The following is a 20,198-nucleotide window of genomic DNA, read 5'->3' on the forward strand; positions in this document are numbered from 1 at the left end:
TGGCAGAGGCTATTTACTGCAATGGTATTTGTAATAGAATGAAATAAAAAACTAGAAACAGCCTTAATTTTTATCAGAGTAGGACTGATAAAATATATTACAGTACATATACTATTCAGCTGTTTTTAAAATGAGAGAGCAAGGCAGCTCTATATCGACTGATGGGAGAAATGTCGTATTTTGCTAAGTGAAAAAAAGCAACGTGCAGAAGAGTGTAGATAGCATACTTCCACAGGTTAAGACTATATAGTTGAATATGAACAGACGATTCAGGAAGGAAAACAAGAAACTAGGGACCCTGGTGTTCAGGTAGGCAGCTCCGGTTGCAGTCTGCCCCTCTGAGTCACTCCAGGCGGTGACCTCCCCCAACCCGCCCTCATTCCTGAACTTCTTTCCTGGCACAGGACTCACTGTGCCCCTTCCCGCTGTGGGTACAAGGTCTGCCCCCCACCCCAGCTCTCCAAAGCCCACCGGCCTCCCTGGAGGCCGAGGTCGACGGCCCGTCGCACCGGGAGGGGGGGCTCCCAGGGGTGCCCCACGCACGGTCAAGGTCCCGCGCCAAGCGGGGACCGGGCTGGGCCGGAAGCGGGCACGGTACTCGCGGCAAACTAGCGTGGGCGAGTCCTGATTGCAGTCGGACCTGCCGCCGCGGCACTTAACAGTTTGCAGAGTGCTTCCCGCCCCTGATCTCATTGGAGCCTTCGGACAGCCCAGCCCATGGCCACCGATGCCCCCATTTCACGCCTGAGGAAGCGGAGGCTCAGACGGGCCACCAGCCCCTCCGGAGGCTGGCCCGGGAGCGCCTGGCAGCGTCGGGTCTAGGAGCCGGCTCCCTCCTGCTCCCTCCTCCGCGCCGCCCGGGGTGTGCCCGCCGTCTGTGTGCACCACTGCTGAGCCCAGCTCCGGCGCCCTCGCCTCTGCTGTGGGCCCCGGGGACGCGGGGTCAGGCCACCGCGTTGGCCAGGCCGCTGCAGGTAAGTGCTGGACGGGGCGGGGCGAGGCTGGGCGGGACCCTCAGGGGCGCCAAGCGCTCCTGGCGACCCCCTGCGGCAGGGCTGGGGCTTGAGCCTGCCAGTGCGCTGGGATGGGGCGCGAAGCGGGGGTGCGGGGAGCCCGCCACCCCGTACCTCTCAATCCTCCCTCTCGCCTCTCAATTCTGGGCCCATTAGGGGTCCCGGCTGCGGGAAGGTTCCGAGACACCCCCTCCCCAAGTCCGCAAGCTCCCAAGCTGCCTAGGATGGAGGGAAACTGGGAAGGAAAGGGAGCTTTATCCTTCAGGGACATTGTGGGGCGGGAGGTAGGGCTGGGCACAGTACAGTCTGGGGGTCAGGGAAAAAACGGTTGCGCTGGGAGCTGGCTTTGGAGGGCAGCTGGGGGAACCAGAACCGGCTCCACCAGTCCCCAGCCTAGACTTGGGAAGGAAATTCTTTGCCAGTGAAGCTCCTCCCTGGGGTGTGTCAGGAGGGACTGGGCAGACAGCACCCAAGGGTAGAAGATGGGGGCCCAGGAGGGAGCTGCACCCTGGTGGGCAGCCATGGGAGTGTGTCAGGTGGAAGCAGCCGTCAGGGTCCCTCTCTGCTCTCTGTCCGGACAGACAGGGCTCCAACCTTCACTTCAGTTCTTGTGAACTCCCACCAGGTGAGTAGCAGCCTGGGAGGGAAGAGTCTCAGGATTCTACCAGAAAGTAGGAATTATTTCCCTTTAGAGATTAGTAAATAGGGTCAATGAGATTAGGGAATTCTTGGAAGTCGCCCAGCTACTAAGTGGCCAAGCTGAGGTTTGAATCCAGGTGGAACTCCGTGTTCCATGCTATCCCACTCCCTTCCCCCACCACGAGGGCTTAGAAGGAGCAGAGTAGGGGAGAAGAGGAGGGTTTCCAAGAATGAGGTCTTCCCAATCACCCCATCCTGCCCAGACTGTGATTCCCAGAGGAAACGCAGCCAGGAGAGCCAGGTGCTGAGAAGGAACTGTGCTCTCTCCCTCTCTCCAGTGTAGGGAAGTCTTTCCCCCAATCCCCCTGACCAGGCTGCCCCCTGACCAGGATCCTGCCCACCCTCCTGTCCCCTCCCTCCAAGCTGCCTTGCTGAAAACTCAGCATTCATTTGTTTACCCATTCAGCGCTGAGTGCCTACTATGTGCCAAGCACTGGGCACTAAATATAAAGCAGTGAGCAAGACCAAGTTGACATTCTAGAGGGGGAGCCAGATAATTAATAAGACCAAAAAAAAAGGACAAATTCTTTAATTTCAGATAGTGACTAAGTGCTATAAAGAAAACAGAGGGGGCTGGAAAAATTAGGTGGGCATAGTGGTGTGCACCTGTGGTCCCAGCTACGTGGGAGGCTGAGGTAGGAGGCTCCCTTGAGCCTGGGAAGCAGAGGTTGCAGTGAGCCAAGGTCGCACCACTGCACTCCAGCCTGGGCGACACAGCAAGGCCTTGGCTCAAAAAAAAAAAAGAAAGGGGACAGGAACAGAGTGACAGAAGCAGGGGCTCTTTCAGACCCAGGGTAATCTGGAGAGGCCTCTAAAGAGATGAGGTTTGAGCAGAGGCCTCTGTGATGAGAAGGATCCACCCATGTGAGGTTCTGGAGGAAGAGCATTCCAGGCAGAAGGAATCAGTAAAAAGCCCCCAAGGCCCTTATTCCAGGGTGGCAGGGTGAAAATGTCGAATCTGGGGTTTTGCTAAGCCTAGCGAGAAGCTAGTAGAGTCTTAAACAAGGGAGTGGCATGAACTGATTTAATGGACTCTAGGGGCACAGGGGGAAGGTGAAAAGCCAGTAAAGAGGCCATAATACAGGCCAGAATAATAGTGGTTTGGGGCAGGGTGGTGGCCTCGCAGGCATCACGCATGCTCAGAGGTGCAAGTCAGCTCCAGGGGGACTCACATGCACATAGGCCCACACACACACGTGGACAGGCAGGCGGGTGCTCTCACACCCACAGCAGCACAGAAACAAGGCACACTCAGGCAGACCCACCCGTCCACACCCTCTGAGTCACTCCAGGACTGGGAGGAAGATGTGTGAGTTAAGGCCTGAACAAAGCACATCTTTCCACCACAAGGCCCTGGCAACTAGTGTGGCTGGGGGTGGCTGGGCTTCCCCAGGCCCAGCACAGGGAGCAGGGAGTTTTCTCTAGATATTCCCTGGATCTAGTGTCCTCCCAGGAGTCAGATCATAAGGCTCCATGCACCCCCCACCTGAACTGGTCTCCCCTCTTCACCACCCAGCAGCTGTGAGACCTTGAGCTGGTTATTTCTCCTCTCTGAGCCTCAGTTTCCCTGCTGTAGAATGGGACTCATAACTGCAACTTCACAGTATAGTAGTGAGGCATCCACAAAGTAAACGTTTCAAGAATCTGGTCTAGGGCAGGAGTCCAGCGGAGAAGGGAAGAGGAGGTGGTGGAGAGCACAGGCTCTGGTACCCAACAGCCTGGCCTTGAATCCACCTCTTGTTTTAAGTGAGTGACTTGACCTCTCTAAATTTCACAGTAATGAGTAGCCAGCATTTATGGGGCACTTACTATGTACTACTTGCTTTGCAATCGTTCAATGATCAGTTTCATCTGTAAGTGAGGAGCACTGTAATAACTACCTTATGGGGTCATTCTAAGAGATTAAATGAGGTTCTGCTCATAAAGTGTTTAACTTCATGCCTGACTCTGAGTAAACACTCAATAAATGGTGATTGTTATTATCAGCCAAAGCATATTTGCTTCCTTCCAGCATACTAGCTCTGTTGCCTTTGGTTAAGTTATATAACCTTGCTGTGCCTCAGTTTCCTATCTGCAGCTTGGGAGGAATAACAGTTCTGAACTCAGAGGGTCGTTGTGAGTATTGAACAAGTCAGAACTCAGAACACTGCCTGGTACATAGTAAATGCTCAATAAAGTCACCTATTCATTCATACGATGGTTTTTCCTCTAATTCTCTCAGGTAGGCACGGCCCCCACCAGGCGCCATGGACTGGAAGACACTCCAGGCCCTACTGAGCGGTGTGAACAAGTACTCCACAGCGTTCGGGCGCATCTGGCTGTCCGTGGTGTTCGTCTTCCGGGTGCTGGTATACGTGGTGGCTGCAGAGCGCGTGTGGGGGGATGAGCAGAAGGACTTTGACTGCAACACCAAGCAGCCCGGCTGCACCAACGTCTGCTACGACAACTACTTCCCCATCTCCAACATCCGCCTCTGGGCCCTGCAGCTCATCTTCGTCACATGCCCCTCGCTGCTGGTCATCCTGCACGTGGCCTACCGTGAGGAGCGGGAGCGCCGGCACCGCCAGAAACACGGGGACCAGTGCGCCAAGCTGTACGACAACGCAGGCAAGAAGCACGGAGGCCTGTGGTGGACCTACCTGTTCAGCCTCATCTTCAAGCTCATCATTGAGTTCCTCTTCCTCTACCTGCTGCACACTCTCTGGCATGGCTTCAATATGCCGCGCCTGGTGCAGTGTGCCAACGTGGCCCCCTGCCCCAACATCGTGGACTGCTACATTGCCCGACCTACCGAGAAGAAAATCTTCACCTACTTCATGGTGGGCGCCTCCGCCGTCTGCATCGTACTCACCATCTGTGAGCTCTGCTACCTCATCTGCCACAGGGTCCTGCGAGGCCTGCACAAGGACAAGCCTCGAGGGGGTTGCAGCCCCTCGTCCTCCGCCAGCCGAGCTTCCACCTGCCGCTGCCACCACAAGCTGGTGGAGGCTGGGGAGGTGGATCCAGACCCAGGCAATAACAAGCTGCAGGCTTCAGCACCCAACCTGACCCCCATCTGACCACAGGGCAGGGGTGGGGCAACATGCGGGCTGCCAATGGGACATGCAGGGCGGTGTGGCAGGTGGAGAGGTCCTACAGGGGCTGAGTGACCCCACTCTGAGTTCACTAAGTTATGCAACTTTCGTTTTGGCAGATATTTTTTGACACTGGGAACTGGGCTGTCTAGCCGGGTATAGGTAACCCACAGGCCCAGTGCCAGCCCTCAAAGGACATAGACTTTGAAACAAGCGAATTAACTATCTACGCTGCCTGCAAGGGGCCACTTAGGGCACTGCTAGCAGGGCTTCAACCAGGAAGGGATCAACCCAGGAAGGGATGATCAGGAGAGGCTTCCCTGAGGACATAATGTGTAAGAGAGGTGAGAAGTGCTCCCAAGCAGACACAACAGCAGCACAGAGGTCTGGAGGCCACACAAAAAGTGATGCTCGCCCTGGGCTAGCCTCAGCAGACCTAAGGCATCTCTACTCCCTCCAGAGGAGCCGCCCAGATTCCTGCAGTGGAGAGGAGGTCTTCCAGCAGCAGCAGGTCTGGAGGGCTGAGAATGAACCTGACTAGAGGTTCTGGAGATACCCAGAGGTCCCCCAGGTCATCACTTGGCTCAGTGGAAGCCCTCTTTCCCCAAATCCTACTCCCTCAGCCTCAGGCAGTGGTGCTCCCATCTTCCTCCCCACAACTGTGCTCAGGCTGGTGCCAGCCTTTCAGACCCTGCTCCCAGGGACTTGGGTGGATGCGCTGATAGAACATCCTCAAGACAGTTTCCTTGAAATCAATAAATACTGTGTTTTATACAGGTTGGCTCTGTCTCTGGTTCTCCCACACTCCCACCCACTGACAGAACCCTGAAGGTAGGGAAAGGTAAGCCCTCAGAAAGGGAAAGAGTTCCATGGCTCGGGGTGGAGCTAGGGTGGGGGCTGTGGCTGTGGCTGCAGCTGGGGCTTGAGCTGGAGCTCGGTTAGGCTGGGGCTGATGTTGACAGCCGGGAGCTGGGTTTGTACCAGAGGAGGAGGCTGGGGTGGAACCTACTGATACATATGTTGGGATTCTAGCTGTGGCCACAAGAGTGCGCTGTGCTCCCTCTGCAACGGTGCTTCCAGCCTTCGTAATTAGACTTCACCCTGAGTACACACACAATCACTGCCACTCTCACTATAGACAAACCACACTCCCTCCTCTGTCACCCAGTCACTGCCATCTCAACACACATCCCCACCCTGTGTACACACAATCTCTGTTATTCATACTCTCACTCCTTATGCGCACTCTCAACAGGGCATGTAGTCTGCACTCAAGCATGCCATCCCAGCCTCACCCTGCATTTTATTCGGCTCATCCCATTTTCCCTGAACATTTTCGCTGAACTAGGGCCCTGGCAGGATGCTGGGACTGTGCAAGGAGGTAGGACCTATGCCCACGGAGCTAAGAGACAGGAACACAGGCTCATCTCCCGCACTAACCAACCCCTGGGATGGCTCACAGCCCTGCTCCCAGTGCTGTGTCATGACCTGAAATTTAGGGGACACCAACACCCAAGGCCAGACCCAAATGGAAAGCAAAAGAGGATGCAAGGCTATATTAACCCAGTGGAACACTTAGTGACTATCACAGCCGAGGCCGGGAGTCAGAAATTCAGGAGCCAGTGAGCCAAGCGCCACAGCCAGCAAAGACAGGTGGGGTCATCACGGAAACAGAACAGCCAGTGGTTCACCTGTGCTCTCACAAGTAGCCATTTGAAGGTGGATAAGCCAGCCAAGTTTAAAGGACCCAGGGCCGGCTGACACTGTCCCTACACCCCCATGACTGATTCATAGCTTGACCATTCCTGAGCACAGCTTCCCCGCACTACATCTTGGGCAGGCCTTTAGAACCTCAGTCTTGCCATCGGTACAATGGGAATTGGATCAATCAGGGTCCTAGCAGAAAACAGATGGCACATTCAAACCAAGTAACTTTAAAGGGAGTTTCCTAGAGAGACTGTTTTCAAAGGTATGGCTACTGCAGCACCCTGGGGCTAGTACCAGGGTAACAATGGACAGGATGCATCCAATGCCAGCAACCAAGTAAATCCCCCAACTTCACTCTCCCATCTGCTCGCCTGCCAGTGGCTCCCACTGACCTAACCCAACCGGAAGTCAGAGGGCAAGTCAGCCTCCCAGTGTACAGGGCAGGGTGGAGAGTAGACCTGAGGGACACAGGGAATACGGTCAGCATGACACCCAGTTGTTCCTACACAGAGGATTTTTGTAGAGGTAGAAGGAGACACTGCAGGTAAAACATTAGCACAGCACTAATGTATCTGATAAATTCCCAGGTATGACTGTGCTCAGGAGAGTCTCTGCCTGATGCACTGGAGGTCAGCCTCTGCTTGGGCTGGAGGGTTGCAAAGGTCTCAGGGAGGGGTGGTCGCCACCTACTTGCCAACATGCATTCCAGCATCTTCCTGGGTGGTTCTGGCTGCCTGGCCAAGGGTGGCTTGGAGGTCAGAGTAACCAGAGAACATCACTGGCTATTCCTGCAGAGAATTAACGCTCAGCAAGGACTGAGCTTCTAGTCCTGGCCCCTTTTCTCCAGGCTGTGGGCCAGGACCATGGAGGAGGGGACATTCCAGCCCTGCACAGCCTGCCTTTGGCCTGGAGCTGTTCTGAGCAGTGCAGTTCACTGATCTCATCCAGTATGTATTGGGTGACTACTATTCACCACCAAGAGCCAGGGCACATTAAGTCACCACAAGGTGGCCCTCACGTCCCCTTGACGTTCTCAGGGTACGTTCCTCTACCTCCGCCTTCCCCACCCATGAGGATTCACTGCAAACTCCCTCCAATCATGCATATGAGATTAGGATTTCATATAGTCTTCAAATCCACATCTACTGTGTAAGGTCACAGCCACCCTGCAGCCCAAGATAAACAGGACATTCCTTTGTATTCATTCACCCTGGTCCAAGTCCCCATATGGACTGAATGTTTGTGTCTTCCCAAAATTCATATGCTGAAGCTCTACCCCCCAGTGTGATGGTATTAGGAGGTGGGGCCTTCAGGGATCATTAAGTCATGGGATGGAGCCCTCCTGAATGGGATTAGTGCCCTTATAAGAAGAGATAAGAACGAGATGATCTCTCTCTCTCTCCTCCATGTGAGGATACAAAGAGAAAATGGCCCTCACCAAGAACTTGACCATGCTGGCACCTGGATCTCGGACTTCTGTGCTCCCCAGCTGTGAGAAATGAATGTTTGTTGTTTAAACTACTCAGTCTTACAGCAGCCCAAACTGACAAATCTCTCCCCGGGATGACTGCTTCCATCTTCTCGCTTCCTGCCCCTGACTCTGGGAAGTGGACTCTGAGGAAGGGCTAAGTGGGTACATTGGGGAGTGACTCCTATAAGTGTAAAAGGGGAGGAAGCAGGATTGAGCAACAAGATGTGTCCCAGGGAGCTCAGAAGCAGAGACTGTCCATGCGGGCAGCTCTGCACCGGACAGCAATGGCGAGGCCTTGACCACCCCCTGGTTCAGTCATGGCCTGAGGCCACCCCAAGAAGAACATGGCCACTTAGACAGCAGAAGCACACCTGGAAGTGCTGATAGGTGAAGGCAGTCAGCTGGCCAGTCTCCACACCGCTACACAGCAAGTCCTACATTGAAGGGGGATGTCTGTCTGTCACCCACCCCTGTAGTCTATTCCCAGCACAGCAGCTGGGGTGATCCTGTCAAAACCTAAGTCAGGCCATGTCACTCCTCTGTCCCAAACCTCCAAAGACATCTTACACAGGCCTTCAAGGGCCCGCAAGATCTGCCCCATCCGCATCTCGCCTGTTGCCTTTCTAAACTCACTTCGCTTTCCTCACCTGCTGCAACCACACTGATCTCCTGCTGTCCCCCAAGCCAGGAAACACCAGGCACACTCCTTCCCCAGGGCCTTTGCATCCTAGGTTCCCTCTGTCTGAAATGCTGTGCCCCCAGATAGCCACGGGGCTTCCTCCCTGCCTTCAGGGCTTGCATCAAATGTCAGCTGCTTAGTGAGGCGTTCTCTCCTCTCCTACTAGAAATTGAGGCCGGCCACAGTGACTCACGCTTATAATCCCAGCACTTTGGGAGGCCGAGGCGGGTGGATCATGAGGTCAAGAGATCGAGACCATCCTGGCCAACACAGTGAAACCCCGTCTCTACTAAAAATACAAAAATTAGCTGGGCGTGGTGGCATGCGCCTGTAGTCCCAGCTACTTGAGAGGCTGAGGCAGGAGAATCGCTTGAACCTGGGAGGTGGAGGTTGCAGTGAGTTAAGATCGCACCACTGCACTCCAGCCTGGGCAACAGAGCAAGACTCCATCTCAAAAAAAAAAAAAAACAAAAGAAACTGAAACTTGCCACCCCTGCACTCTCACTCCTCCCTACTTCATTTCCCCCAGAGCATTCATCACCGTCTAACATGTTCTACATTTTGCTAGAATGTAAAACCTCCGAGGACAGGGATTTTTTTGTTGTTGTTCCCTGGTTATCTCCACTGTCTAGGATGGCATCACAGCACATAGGAGGTGCTTAGTAACTATTGCTTTTAATAGCAAAAACCACAATTACTTTTGCACCAAACTAAATACTTGTTAAATTAACAAATTTATATACAGATCTGGTGCCCTGCTAGGTGGTGGAGATATAAAGACCCAGCTGCCTGCCCTCAAAGGGCTCACAGTCTAATGGAGGAGGGGAATAAAGATAAGTAGACCATGCACCAAGGAATGGGGAAAGGGGAGTGGTTTACTAGAGACAGAGTTTCAGTTTTGCAAGATGGCAAAGTTCTGGAGATCTGTTGCAAAACAACGTGAATATACTCAACACTACTGAACTGTACACTTAAAATCCTTAAGATGATACATTTTATGGTAGCTGCTTTTTAACATAATTAAAAATTTTTAAATAACAAAAACAAAGCACCATGGGTAGTAGCTGAGCTGCTGAAAGCACAAAGGTACACCTAGCACAGAGGGAGCCAGCAAGGGGACTTCTGGGAGAAGGCAACAACTGAGAAAAGTCCTGATTCACAGCGTTCAGCACGTGAGGGTGCTCCATGCAGAGGGAACAGCAGGGACAAAGGCAAGAGCGCACAGAGAACCCCATCAGTGAGACCTGGTTGGGTCACAGCGAGAAGGGTGAGGGGTAAGGCTGGAGAAGTGGCCAGGGACTGGAGGTTGGGGAGCCTAGGGCTTACCCAGAAGGTGATAGGGAGCCATAGATGACTTTTCAGCAGGGCGATGTTGGTCAGATTTCTAGGGAAGTGTGGAGGCTGAGTTGGAAGGGTGGGGCTAGAGGTCAAGAGACCAGCTGGGAGGCCACTGAGGTGGCAGCAGCCTGAACAGGACCAGGGCAAAGGGAATGCAGGGAAGCATGTGGTTCCAGGGACATTTCCAGGTGGAATGACCAGGTTGTGGTAACTGTTGTCTTAGTTGATCCCAGCTTCTTCATCCTCTGGGGAGGAGGCCGAGTTATTCAAACCTCCAAAGCCCTTGAGGAAGGAGTCAGAGCAGGGTGAGGGCAGCCTTGACGTCACTCCCCAGCCCTCCACTGGCTCTTCCCTCTTTCCCAGTATACTGAATCAGAAAGGCTTTGGGAGAGCTGGGCCCAGCCCCAAGAGAGGAAAACTCGGTAGTGAGCAGAGGCTGCAGTGGGGGCGTGGTGAGAACCAGCCTCCAGGGGCCTCGGTTCTCATGCCCTCAAGGGTCAGAATTAAGTGGGGCAGTTGTTAGCTTCAGAAATCCAGGAGACTCAGTTCAGCCTGGCCCTGAGGGAGAGGCCTAGAGGGGAAGCCAGCCCAGCCGGATCCCTCAGGGCAGCTAGCCCTGAAGTTCTCAGGTCTGCGTGTCCCCAAAGATGTCCTCCTGCTGGTCCTGAAGACAGAACCCTCAGGGACCCGGCCCTGGGGCCCAGGGAATCCAAGGACTAAATCTTGCTGTGGAGGAACAGGGACTTCTGTGCCACCAGCCCCAGGCCTCAACAGCCCCCTGCCACCTTCCCTTTCCTCAGCTGCGCCAGCCCCTACCACCCTCTAAGAACAACCCACAGACCCTTTTTGTTACAGTATCACAATGTTTTTAGCCACCACTCACTTGAAAAACTTTATGTACCACTATTACACTATGTGCTTTGATCACACTGTATGCCATCAACCCCACAAAGTAGATACTATCACTATTCTCATTCTGTAGAGGAAGAAATTGAGGCACAGGGATTTGAGTAACTTGCCTAAGGGTACAGGAGTCAACAGCAAAGTCTCAGCTCCTGGGCTCAGCCACCAACAACGTCTCAGCACTCCGAGGGCAGTGGCCACAGTCTCAGAACCCCACAGCTCCAGGCCCTCGAGCCACACTCATGCCGCCCCTCTACCTAGAATGCTCTTCCCTTCCACTTGGCTAATGGAGGGGGAAAAGCATTTCCTCTCCTCCAGGAAATGTTCCTAACCAAGTCCCCTGGGAATCACCCAGTACCTCTCAGGAGAACTTTCCACATTTATTATCTTACCGTTATCCAAGGGCTGATATGCTCAATCCCTGCACCAGCCAGTGAGGGAGGAGGCCAGAGACCAAGTTTGGCTGGTTCCTCAGGGTATCCCCAGGTCCCCAAGCAGCGTCTGCAGCACAGCAGATGCTCACTGATGCTCATCCACCTGTGATGCCTGAATGCATGAAGGCAGGCTCCGCATAGCCCTTTCATTCCTATGGATGTCCCCCACACCACCCAGCCACCATTTAGAGGCATAAGAACGGGGTCCAAGCTAAAGGTCAGGTGGTTCCCCCACCCCCAGTCTCAAGGAGTCCATGGGAATTGCTTAATGGCCTCTGATTGTGTAGCCTGCCCAGACATGGGGATGTTTGAGAATTCTGGAAGAACGTGGGCTGGGCGTGGATAGAGACGCCTGCTCCACCATGTATGCTGGAGGTGTGGATTACAACCCCTGTCCCCCATTGGAGCTTCCCGCGCCGTAATTAGCCTTGATCGCCTCATCCTGGCACACTAGGGCCAGCCACCTAGCAAATGAGTGGTCCCCACACTCCATCCCCATCCGCCCACCCCTCACAGCCCCGCAGGCCAGTTGCCCAGATCCACAGCCCTTACTGCAACCCCTTCAAATCCAGCCACCCTGAGAGATCCTGGCCTGGGAGAACTCTCCTTCCCTGGCCAAAGAAACGACAGGAGAGTTTACTGTCTGGAATACCTGGTGGAGAGAGAACAGAGGAGAGGAAGGGTAGGTCAGCCCCTCTTGCCCCTCCCCACCGCAAATCACACAGGCCCACCTCCCCGGAGTGGGTTTAGGGAGTCTGCACCTCCCAGTCCCCGCCCCCGCCCTCTCTCCAGCGCCCGCCGCCCTCCCCGTCGCGTTTCCTGCCCCCACCCCGCCCCTCTGCGCTATTTAAGGCGCCCCCGCCGCTCGTGCGGTCCAGCAGGGCTCCCGCGGGCGTCACTCCGGCCATCGTCCCCACCTCCACCTGGGCCGCCCGGCAGGCAGGCGGTGAGTCGGGGGCTAGGAAGGGACCAGGGGCGCCACCTGCTCGCGGGAGGCCGGGAGGAGTCTTGGGTCCTCCGATGCCGGGACGGGGGTTGCTGCGGAACGCCCGCCGCGACAGAGCCGCGCTCACCCAGGTGGCCTTGGCCAGGCTCCCACCCTCTTTCCATGGAATCCTTGTAACAACCCGAGGCGGGAGGAATACTATTGTTTCCACTCTATCGTGGAGGAGACTGAGGGGCCCAGAGGTTGTTCCTTATCCAAGGGGCCGCAGTTACTAAAAGGCAAGATTTGAACCCAGGGCCGCTTCCAGAGCCTGGCTCTAAACAGCTTTGCACTTGGGAAGAGGCACCTCCCCCTTGGGAACTTTGTGGCCTGTGCCTCACCCTGCAATGACAATTCCTTTCAAGAGTCTAGAATTTGCCAGCATCAGCTTTGGAGGTGGAAGGGGGTGGGAGTGGAGGTGGAGGAAGAAGACAGGACCAAATGTCCCTCCTCAAGTGGCAGGTGGTCATTATTGCTGACCGGTGGAGCTAAAGGATGATGCTGCCTTCAGCTCCTAAAACCCCTTCCACTACCCAGCCCCTGCAGGCTCAAAGATTAGAGTGAAGCCAGCTGGGTAAGATATGAGGCGGGGAGCAGGGACCTGAGGCTTTGAGCCCCCTAAGAAGCAGAAGATAACACCTCTACCATCATCACTAGCTCCCACTGTCTGGGGGTAGCCAGCCTTGGGCAAAAGGGAGGAAGGGCTTAGCCCAGCTGCACAACTTTGGATAAGTTCCTCAAATTCTGTTCCCATAGGCAAAGGAGCCTCAACTCCACCCAGATTTCCTTGGCCTGTGTCCATCCTGGGGCAGTGGCTCGGGGACAAGAGGGACATAGATGTCTGATTAGGCAGGGACCTTAGCCAAAGCAGAATGAGACCATACAAAGAGGTGGGCAGCCATCATCCAAAAATCTGGGTTGGGTCCTGCCTGCACTGCTGAGTGGGAGCCTCCAGGCCAGTCCTTCCCCTTCCTGAGCCTGGGTTTCTTTGTAGGTAGAACGGGCGTGGCAGACCTCCCTGCAGGCTTGTTGCTGGGCGAACGAGAAGGATGCCATGCTGACACACTGACGTGCTCTGTCTCCTTGCAGACGGAGGCCCGGGAGCCATGGGTGACTGGGGCTTCCTGGAGAAGTTGCTGGACCAGGTCCAGGAGCACTCGACCGTGGTGGGTAAGATCTGGCTGACGGTGCTCTTCATCTTCCGCATCCTCATCCTGGGCCTGGCCGGCGAGTCAGTGTGGGGTGACGAGCAATCAGATTTCGAGTGTAACACGGCCCAGCCAGGCTGCACCAACGTCTGCTATGACCAGGCCTTCCCCATCTCCCACATCCGCTACTGGGTGCTGCAGTTCCTCTTCGTCAGCACACCCACCCTGGTCTACCTGGGCCATGTCATTTACCTGTCTCGGCGAGAAGAGCGGCTGCGGCAGAAGGAGGGGGAGCTGCGGGCACTGCCGGCCAAGGACCCACAGGTGGAGCGGGCGCTGGCGGCCGTAGAGCGTCAGATGGCCAAGATCTCGGTGGCAGAAGATGGTCGCCTGCGCATCCGCGGAGCACTGATGGGCACCTATGTCGCCAGTGTGCTCTGCAAGAGTGTGCTAGAGGCAGGCTTCCTCTATGGCCAGTGGCGCCTGTACGGCTGGACCATGGAGCCCGTGTTTGTGTGCCAGCGAGCACCCTGCCCCTACCTCGTGGACTGCTTTGTCTCTCGCCCCACGGAGAAGACCATCTTCATCATCTTCATGTTGGTGGTTGGACTCATCTCCCTGGTGCTTAACCTGCTGGAGTTGGTGCACCTGCTGTGTCGCTGCCTCAGCCGGGGGATGAGGGCACGGCAAGGCCAAGACGCACCCCCGACCCAGGGCACCTCCTCAGACCCTTACACGGACCAGGTCTTCTTCTACCTCCCCGTGGGCCAGGGGCCCTCATCCCCACCATGCCCCACCTACAATGGGCTCTCATCCAGTGAGCAGAACTGGGCCAACCTGACCACAGAGGAGAGGCTGGCGTCTTCCAGGCCCCCTCTCTTCCTGGACCCACCCCCTCAGAATGGCCAAAAACCCCCAAGTCGTCCCAGCAGCTCTGCTTCTAAGAAGCAGTATGTATAGAGGCCTGTGGCTTATGTCACCCAACAGAGGGGTCCTGAGAAGTCTGGCTGCCTGGGATGCCCCCTGCCCCCTCCTGGAAGGCTCTGCAGAGATGACTGGGCTGGGGAAGCAGGTGCTTGCTGGCCATGGAGCCTCATTGCAAGTTGTTCTTGAACACCTGAGGCCTTCCTGGTGCCCACCAGGCACTACGGCTTCCTCTCCAGAATGTGGCTTTGCCTGAGCACAGACAGAGTCAGCATGGAATGCTCTTGGCCAAGGGTACTGGGGGCCCTCTGGCCTTTTGCAGCTGATCCAGAGGAACCCAGAGCCAACTTACCCCAACCTCACCCTATGGAACAGTCACCTGTGCGCAGGTTGTCCTCAAACCCTCTCCTCACAGGAAAAGGCGGATTGAGGCTGCTGGGTCAGCCTTGATCGCACAGACAGAGCTTGTGCCGGATTTGGCCCTGTCAAGGGGACTGGTGCCTTGTTTTCATCACTCCTTCCTAGTTCTACTGTTCAAGCTTCTGAAATAAACAGGACTTGATCACAAGTAGGTGTGTATTGATGCTATCATGATGTGCTGGGGGTTGGGGGATAGAGTTATTTTGCCCAGGCTTCCTTTACTTCTTGGTCCTGTATAATCTCTTTGGTCTCTATAACCCCCGATTCCAGCCAACACCTTGAACCCTCAAACTCATACCTTCTGCCTCCAACAGCCCTGATTTCTAAATGCTCTGCCTTTTGAAATGCCTCAGACACTATCTTCTTTTCATCCCCACTGCTCCAGCGCATTAATCAGTGGTCAAAGCATAAACGTCCTTGCCCTCCCTCCCCCATGCCCATCGTCGCCCTGGCCACACTGCCCCCTGCAAAGTGCTTCCTTACTGGATGGTTTGCTCTCCAAGCGTGCCTGCCAGCCAAGCCCTTCGCAGTCCAGTTCAGATGGGCCCTGCACTCATCCCACCTCATCCTCATCCTTGGTATTTGGGAAGGGAGGTTTAGGTCACTAGTCCTTCCTACCTTGGCCCTTTCTAGTCTGCCCACCAGGAGAAGCAACTGAAGGATTTGCTTCATATCTGCTCTCCATGCACCCAGACCTCAGTGAGGACAATGGCAATGTACAGAAGTGGAAGAGACTGAATCTTGCCAATGAGCCACAAAGGCTGCAGAAACAAAATGAACAATTGAACTGGGTCTTGACTAGGAGTTCACTGGGGAGGGAAAGAGAACACTGAGCATTCAAGCGGAGAAAACTGTTTGTGCAAAGTCAGAGGAGGGATTGACAGGCTGAGGGGGCATTTAGGTCCTGATGAGCCACCTAGATACAGGAGGCGTGGCTGAGGATGGGCCCACTGCTGGCAGAATTGACCTATGTGGAGGCGACCCAGGTAGGGGAGAGCACTAGGTAGTGACCCTCAGAGGCAAGCTGGTTGTCCTCCCTTCCCAGGGACATCTGGGGCTAGGGTTGAAGAAGGAAAGGGGGTCTCTCTGATGTGGCCACATGCTTCTCCTTGAGAGCCACAATGCCTTCACAGCAGGTTGGCAAGTTGGCCCCTCTCCCATCAGGATGGGTGTTGAAAACACCAGCTCTGTACCCCTCATCCAGAGCTCATTCGCTCACTCGCTGCTTACCCAGCGAGTCTGAATGCTCAGCCTAATAAATTACGACCCTCTTCCTTTTCCAGCTGTGGTTCCCATTGTTCCCTCTGAATCGCTGAAATCGATCAGGCCAGCTTCCTCATGGCTCCCAGATTCACCCAGTATGTTCCCACCCTGCCCCTGTGTCAGCATGCAGCGTCCCTGCCCCCCACACTTCGAAACTCCACAAATCCTTTAAATACTACTGGACCCTGGAAAAGGGCTTGGTGCGGAAGAGTGAGATGAGCTTATCACCAGAGGGCCCTGAATTTAAATGCTGTGGTCTGGAGTCAATCATTTCGCTTCTCTGAGTCTCAGTTTTCTAACCTCTAAAATGCAAATAACATCACCTGCCTCACAACTGACTGGAAACCAAATAAGTGAAAGTATGTGACTGTGCCTGGCTCAGTAGTCATGCAGTAAAATTAAGCTCACACCTTTCAGCCAGACTAACATAGGCTCTTCCTCCAGGAAGCGCTCTCTGACTTCTCCAGCTAGTCTCCGGCAATGACCTCTACCTCTCAGGGATCTGAACCACTGCTTGATTGAGTGAGGCTGGGCTCAATCCTGAAAGCCTCAAAAAGGAGGCTGTTCACATACTGGAAGTCCATGACCACTGGAAGTTGAGGTCCCTGTCTAAGAGATTCTCCTCCAGCCAGGGTGAGAGGCCAGAGGCTGCAGGTTAGAAGCCAGCGTTAGAGCCAGCATTACCTGAGGGGCTTCAGAGCCCTGGTTTGGTGTTTCTGTTATCCCCAACCTTTCCTACTTTGGAAAGGTAGGAGAAGAAAGGTTTCAGTGAGCAGAAATGGCATCCTTCCCCTCCCTCAAAGCTCACCCACTCTGAGCTTGGTGTCAGAGCCGGGGTCAGGCTGGGGCTCAGGAACTTGGACCTTTGGCAAGACAAGTTGGGTCCTAGACTGGCGGCCACACAAACACAAGCACATATGGGCTGGGGGTTTAAGAGTGAGGACAGTGTCATGGGGCTGGGATCACACCATTTGGGTTGGGGGTATGGTGAAGACTTTATGGAGAGAAGAGTGGCTGTAAGCCCCATCCCACCTGTATTCCCTTGCCAAGGCTACTGTACCAAAGTACCACAGACTGCACGGCTTAAGCAACAGAAACTGATTCTCAGTTCTGAAGGCCAGAAGTCTGAGATCGAGATATCCGAAGGGCTGGTTCCTTCCGAGGGCTGTGAGGGAGACTGTTCCAGGCCTCTCTCCCAGCTCTGGTGTTTTGCTGGCAATCTTTGGCACTCCTTGGCTTTTAGACGCATCACTCCCATCTCTGCCTTCATCTTCACCTGGTGTTCTCCCTTTACCTGTGTCTCTGTGTCTAAATTTCCCCTCTTTATAAGGACATCACTCATATTGGATTAGGACCCACCCTAATGACTTTGATCTAACTTGATTACCTCTGAAAAGACCTTATTTCCACATAAGGTTACATTCTGAGGCATTAGGGGTTAAAACTTCAATATATCTGGCAGGAGGCACCATTCAACCCATACCACCACCCTCGTGGCCCCACCTCACCTCCAAGCACTGGTCAGGCACGGGGCTCTGGAGAATGCTAGGTTTGTTGGACGCAGGCATCTCCTTGGTGATGTCACTAGGATGAAACACGGCAGGTTCACACCTTTCTTTTCCTTTGTTTCCTTCTTCCTCTCACCAGCCTATCCCTTGCTGCCACCAACCAAAATCTAAGTTGACAGCTAGTGGCTCTCAGTTAGAGAAAGAGCCATCGTTTGGAGTTAGGAGACTTGGCTCCTACCTCACACCTCTCATACGCACTTGACTATGGCTCTTTCCCTTCTCTAGGCCTCAATTTCCCCATTGTGAAATGAAAGGGTTGGATGAGAAACACGTATGTGACAATTAGGTATGAGGAGCGTTGCGTGTGGTAACCTGTCACTGATCATTGATCTGAAACTCATGAGTGATGTGCTATTTCGCATGAATCAGAAAAAAGTCAAGGTTGTTTCTACAATAAGATTAATTCCAGTCGCTTAAATTCACATTGCCTTCCTAAGTAGGAAAGACAGGGATGGGGTTATGTGGAGTGCACTGGGAATTTTGCATAACCCAAGGTCATCTTATCTATGACGGATGGGAGCATGAGAACATCACGGGCTGCACATAAACAAGGCTGTCAAGCTGGGTGATGTCAAAACTTCTTCCCAGTCTAACATGCTGGCTCACTGGCCACTGGCTTGCCAGCCTCATGGTTCTATCACCTCCAGTTCCTTGACTGGGGATTCTTCGTTTTCACACCAACCTCAGCATGACTATTGACGTTTGCAGGAAGAGGTATCCATCACAGGATTGTCAGAACATCTCTCTCCACCTTTAAGAATCTCTCTCCAGACTTGGCTCTGATCCCAGAGCCACAGGACACCCAGTTCTGTCCTTCCCAAACAGTACTGCAGCCACATACAGACAGCCACCAGGTTCAGCCTGAGCCTGCTCTCCTCCTATTCCTCCAGATAATCCTGATTTCCAGAAGTCTCTGGCCAACCTGCAATTTGTTTACTTTCCTCTTTTTTTTTTTTTTTTTTTTTTTTTGAGACGAAGTCTCCCTCTGTTGCCCAGGCTGGAGTGCAGTGGCAGGATCTTGGCTCACTGTAATCTCTGCCTCCTGGGTTCAAGCAATTCTTGTGCCTCAGCCTCCCCAGTAGCTAGGATTACAGGTGTGAACCACCACGCCTGGCTAATTTTTGTATTTTTAGTAGAGATGGGGTTTCACCATGTTGACTAGGCTGGTCTCAAACTCCTGACCTCAGGTGATCCACCTGCCTCGGCCTCCCAAAGTGCTGGGATTACAGGCGTGAGCCACCATGCCTGGCCTAATTTCCTCTTAACATATGCCACCCTCCCTGTATGCTGGATACGACACTCCAGTTGGTCCGAATCCAGATTATTGCCTCTCTTGCCCCAAAACTTCTACCTCTCTTAATGCAACCTAAGATTATAATTTTTTTTATTTTCTCCTCCTTTACATATATATAAATTCTTTTGAATTATAAAGATAATGCATGATCATTGTAGACAGTGAATGAGATCCTACCATCCAGAGGCAACAACTGTTAATATTCAGAAGTAATTCCCTCCAGCCTTCTTCCATGCATATTTTAAAATAAAATCTTAGTAAAGATATACCTACAATTTTATATTATGCTTTTTTCATTTTATGATAAATCATTAGTTTTTTCCCATGTCGTTAAGAACATATTTTTGGAAATACCACTTAAAGGCTTTATCAGTGCCTACTTAAACCATGACCCTGATATTGGATTTTTAGGATGTTTGCAACTAATCATCCTCTACTATAAATGGTACTGTGATGCAGATGTCTGTACCTAAATGTTTTCCAAATTTCTATTTCCTTAAAAGAAAAAGATATTCCAAGAAGTAAAATTACTGGGTCACAAAGTAGGAAATCTTAAATAAAGAAAATTTAGGGGCTTTTATCTGATTGTGAAAGTGATTCATTGTGGGTGACTCAGAAACACAGAAAAGCACAAATTACAAGAAATGAAAGCACAAACTGCCTCTGAGTGGGAATTGGGGTGGAGCTGAAAACAGGAGAGTTCATTGAAAGCACCTCGGCCTGGGGATTCCATCCCTGCACTGAGCAGCTAGGTGACCACATCTTCCCAACTCTGTGAAGAGGTGGAGGTTTATTCTCTGGAGAGGATAAAACAGAGAAATGCAGCCAGGTGCAGTGGCTCACGCCTGTAATCCCAGGCGGGAGGCGGAGGCGGGCGGATGTCTTGAGGTCAGGAGTTCGAGACCAGCCTGGCCAACATGGCGAAACCCCATCTCCACTAAAAATAGAAAAACTAGCCAGGTGTGGTGGTGTGCACCTGTATTCCCAGCTACTCGCACTCCAGCCTGGGTAACAGAGCGAGACCCTGTCTCAAAAAAAAAAAAAAAAAAAAATCGAGAAATGCCAGGCATAATTGAGGGTAGGAGCACCATAAATAAAACAGAGGAATTAAGTGGAAGTTTACATACTGAACAGTGGGTCCTTCTGCCTTCTCCCCAAAATTGGCTTCCAAAACACTGGCTGATGGATCAGGCTTTGAAAAAAAAAAAGAGAGAGAGAATCTGATCTAGCCTGAGGTCATAGAAGCCTGCCTGCAGGAGGTGGGCTTCAGAAAGCCTA

General features: G+C 53.3%; 2 protein-coding genes across 5 annotated transcripts, besides 8 other annotated features; both read left to right on the forward strand.

Moving 5' to 3' along the window:
- Positions 410 to 5,560, forward strand: GJB3 (gap junction protein beta 3). 2 transcript variants are annotated; one of them, NM_024009.3, is made up of 2 exons: positions 410 to 974; positions 3,934 to 5,560. In NM_024009.3, exon 2 carries the CDS (start codon positions 3,959 to 3,961, stop codon positions 4,769 to 4,771), a length of 813 nt encoding a protein of 270 aa, NP_076872.1. In that variant the 5' UTR covers positions 410 to 974; positions 3,934 to 3,958; the 3' UTR covers positions 4,772 to 5,560. The 2 variants fall into 2 exon arrangements, with proteins under 2 accessions (NP_076872.1, NP_001005752.1); NM_001005752.2 differs by lacking the exon at positions 410 to 974 and adding an exon at positions 1,464 to 1,638.
- Positions 5,719 to 5,908: a silencer, noted in NCBI's record as "silent region_626". NCBI's record gives its function as "represses an Ori minimal core promoter by ATAC-STARR-seq in GM12878 lymphoblastoid cells {active_cell/tissue: GM12878}" and the evidence as "EXISTENCE:reporter gene assay evidence [ECO:0000049][PMID:35858748]".
- Positions 5,719 to 5,949: a biological region, named in NCBI's record as "ReSE screen-validated silencer GRCh37_chr1:35252149-35252354".
- Positions 5,744 to 5,949: a silencer, noted in NCBI's record as "fragment chr1:35252149-35252354 (GRCh37/hg19 assembly coordinates)". NCBI's record gives its function as "represses an EF-1alpha promoter that drives an FKBP-Casp9 reporter gene in an ReSE screen in phorbol 12-myristate 13-acetate-treated (for megakaryocytic differentiation) K562 erythroleukemia cells {active_cell/tissue: K562(+PMA)}" and the evidence as "EXISTENCE:reporter gene assay evidence [ECO:0000049][PMID:32094911]".
- Positions 6,162 to 6,362: a silencer, noted in NCBI's record as "fragment chr1:35252567-35252767 (GRCh37/hg19 assembly coordinates)". NCBI's record gives its function as "represses an EF-1alpha promoter that drives an FKBP-Casp9 reporter gene in an ReSE screen in HepG2 liver carcinoma cells {active_cell/tissue: HepG2}" and the evidence as "EXISTENCE:reporter gene assay evidence [ECO:0000049][PMID:32094911]".
- Positions 7,468 to 7,527: a silencer, noted in NCBI's record as "silent region_627". NCBI's record gives its function as "represses an Ori minimal core promoter by ATAC-STARR-seq in GM12878 lymphoblastoid cells {active_cell/tissue: GM12878}" and the evidence as "EXISTENCE:reporter gene assay evidence [ECO:0000049][PMID:35858748]".
- Positions 11,253 to 11,753: an enhancer, noted in NCBI's record as "H3K4me1 hESC enhancer chr1:35257658-35258158 (GRCh37/hg19 assembly coordinates)". NCBI's record gives its function as "activates a minimal SCP1, AML or CMV promoter by ChIP-STARR-seq in naive H9 embryonic stem cells {active_cell/tissue: H9 hESC(naive)}" and the evidence as "EXISTENCE:reporter gene assay evidence [ECO:0000049][PMID:30033119]".
- GJA4 (gap junction protein alpha 4) lies at positions 12,195 to 14,943 on the forward strand. 3 transcript variants are annotated; one of them, XM_017001043.3, is made up of 2 exons: positions 12,195 to 12,542; positions 13,393 to 14,943. In XM_017001043.3, the coding sequence occupies exon 2, from the start codon at positions 13,410 to 13,412 to the stop codon at positions 14,409 to 14,411; it is 1,002 nt and encodes a 333-aa protein (XP_016856532.1). In that variant the 5' UTR covers positions 12,195 to 12,542; positions 13,393 to 13,409; the 3' UTR covers positions 14,412 to 14,943. The 3 variants fall into 3 exon arrangements, with proteins under 3 accessions (XP_016856532.1, XP_005270807.1, NP_002051.2); XM_005270750.3 differs by having other exon boundaries at positions 12,195 to 12,264; positions 13,298 to 14,943; NM_002060.3 differs by having other exon boundaries at positions 12,195 to 12,264.
- Positions 13,458 to 13,612: a silencer, noted in NCBI's record as "fragment chr1:35259863-35260017 (GRCh37/hg19 assembly coordinates)". NCBI's record gives its function as "represses an EF-1alpha promoter that drives an FKBP-Casp9 reporter gene in an ReSE screen in K562 erythroleukemia cells {active_cell/tissue: K562}" and the evidence as "EXISTENCE:reporter gene assay evidence [ECO:0000049][PMID:32094911]".
- Positions 19,481 to 19,530: an enhancer, noted in NCBI's record as "active region_716". NCBI's record gives its function as "activates an Ori minimal core promoter by ATAC-STARR-seq in GM12878 lymphoblastoid cells {active_cell/tissue: GM12878}" and the evidence as "EXISTENCE:reporter gene assay evidence [ECO:0000049][PMID:35858748]".

This window comes from Homo sapiens, chromosome 1 (assembly GCF_000001405.40).
Source record: "Homo sapiens chromosome 1, GRCh38.p14 Primary Assembly".
Lineage (NCBI taxonomy): Eukaryota > Metazoa > Chordata > Mammalia > Primates > Hominidae > Homo > Homo sapiens.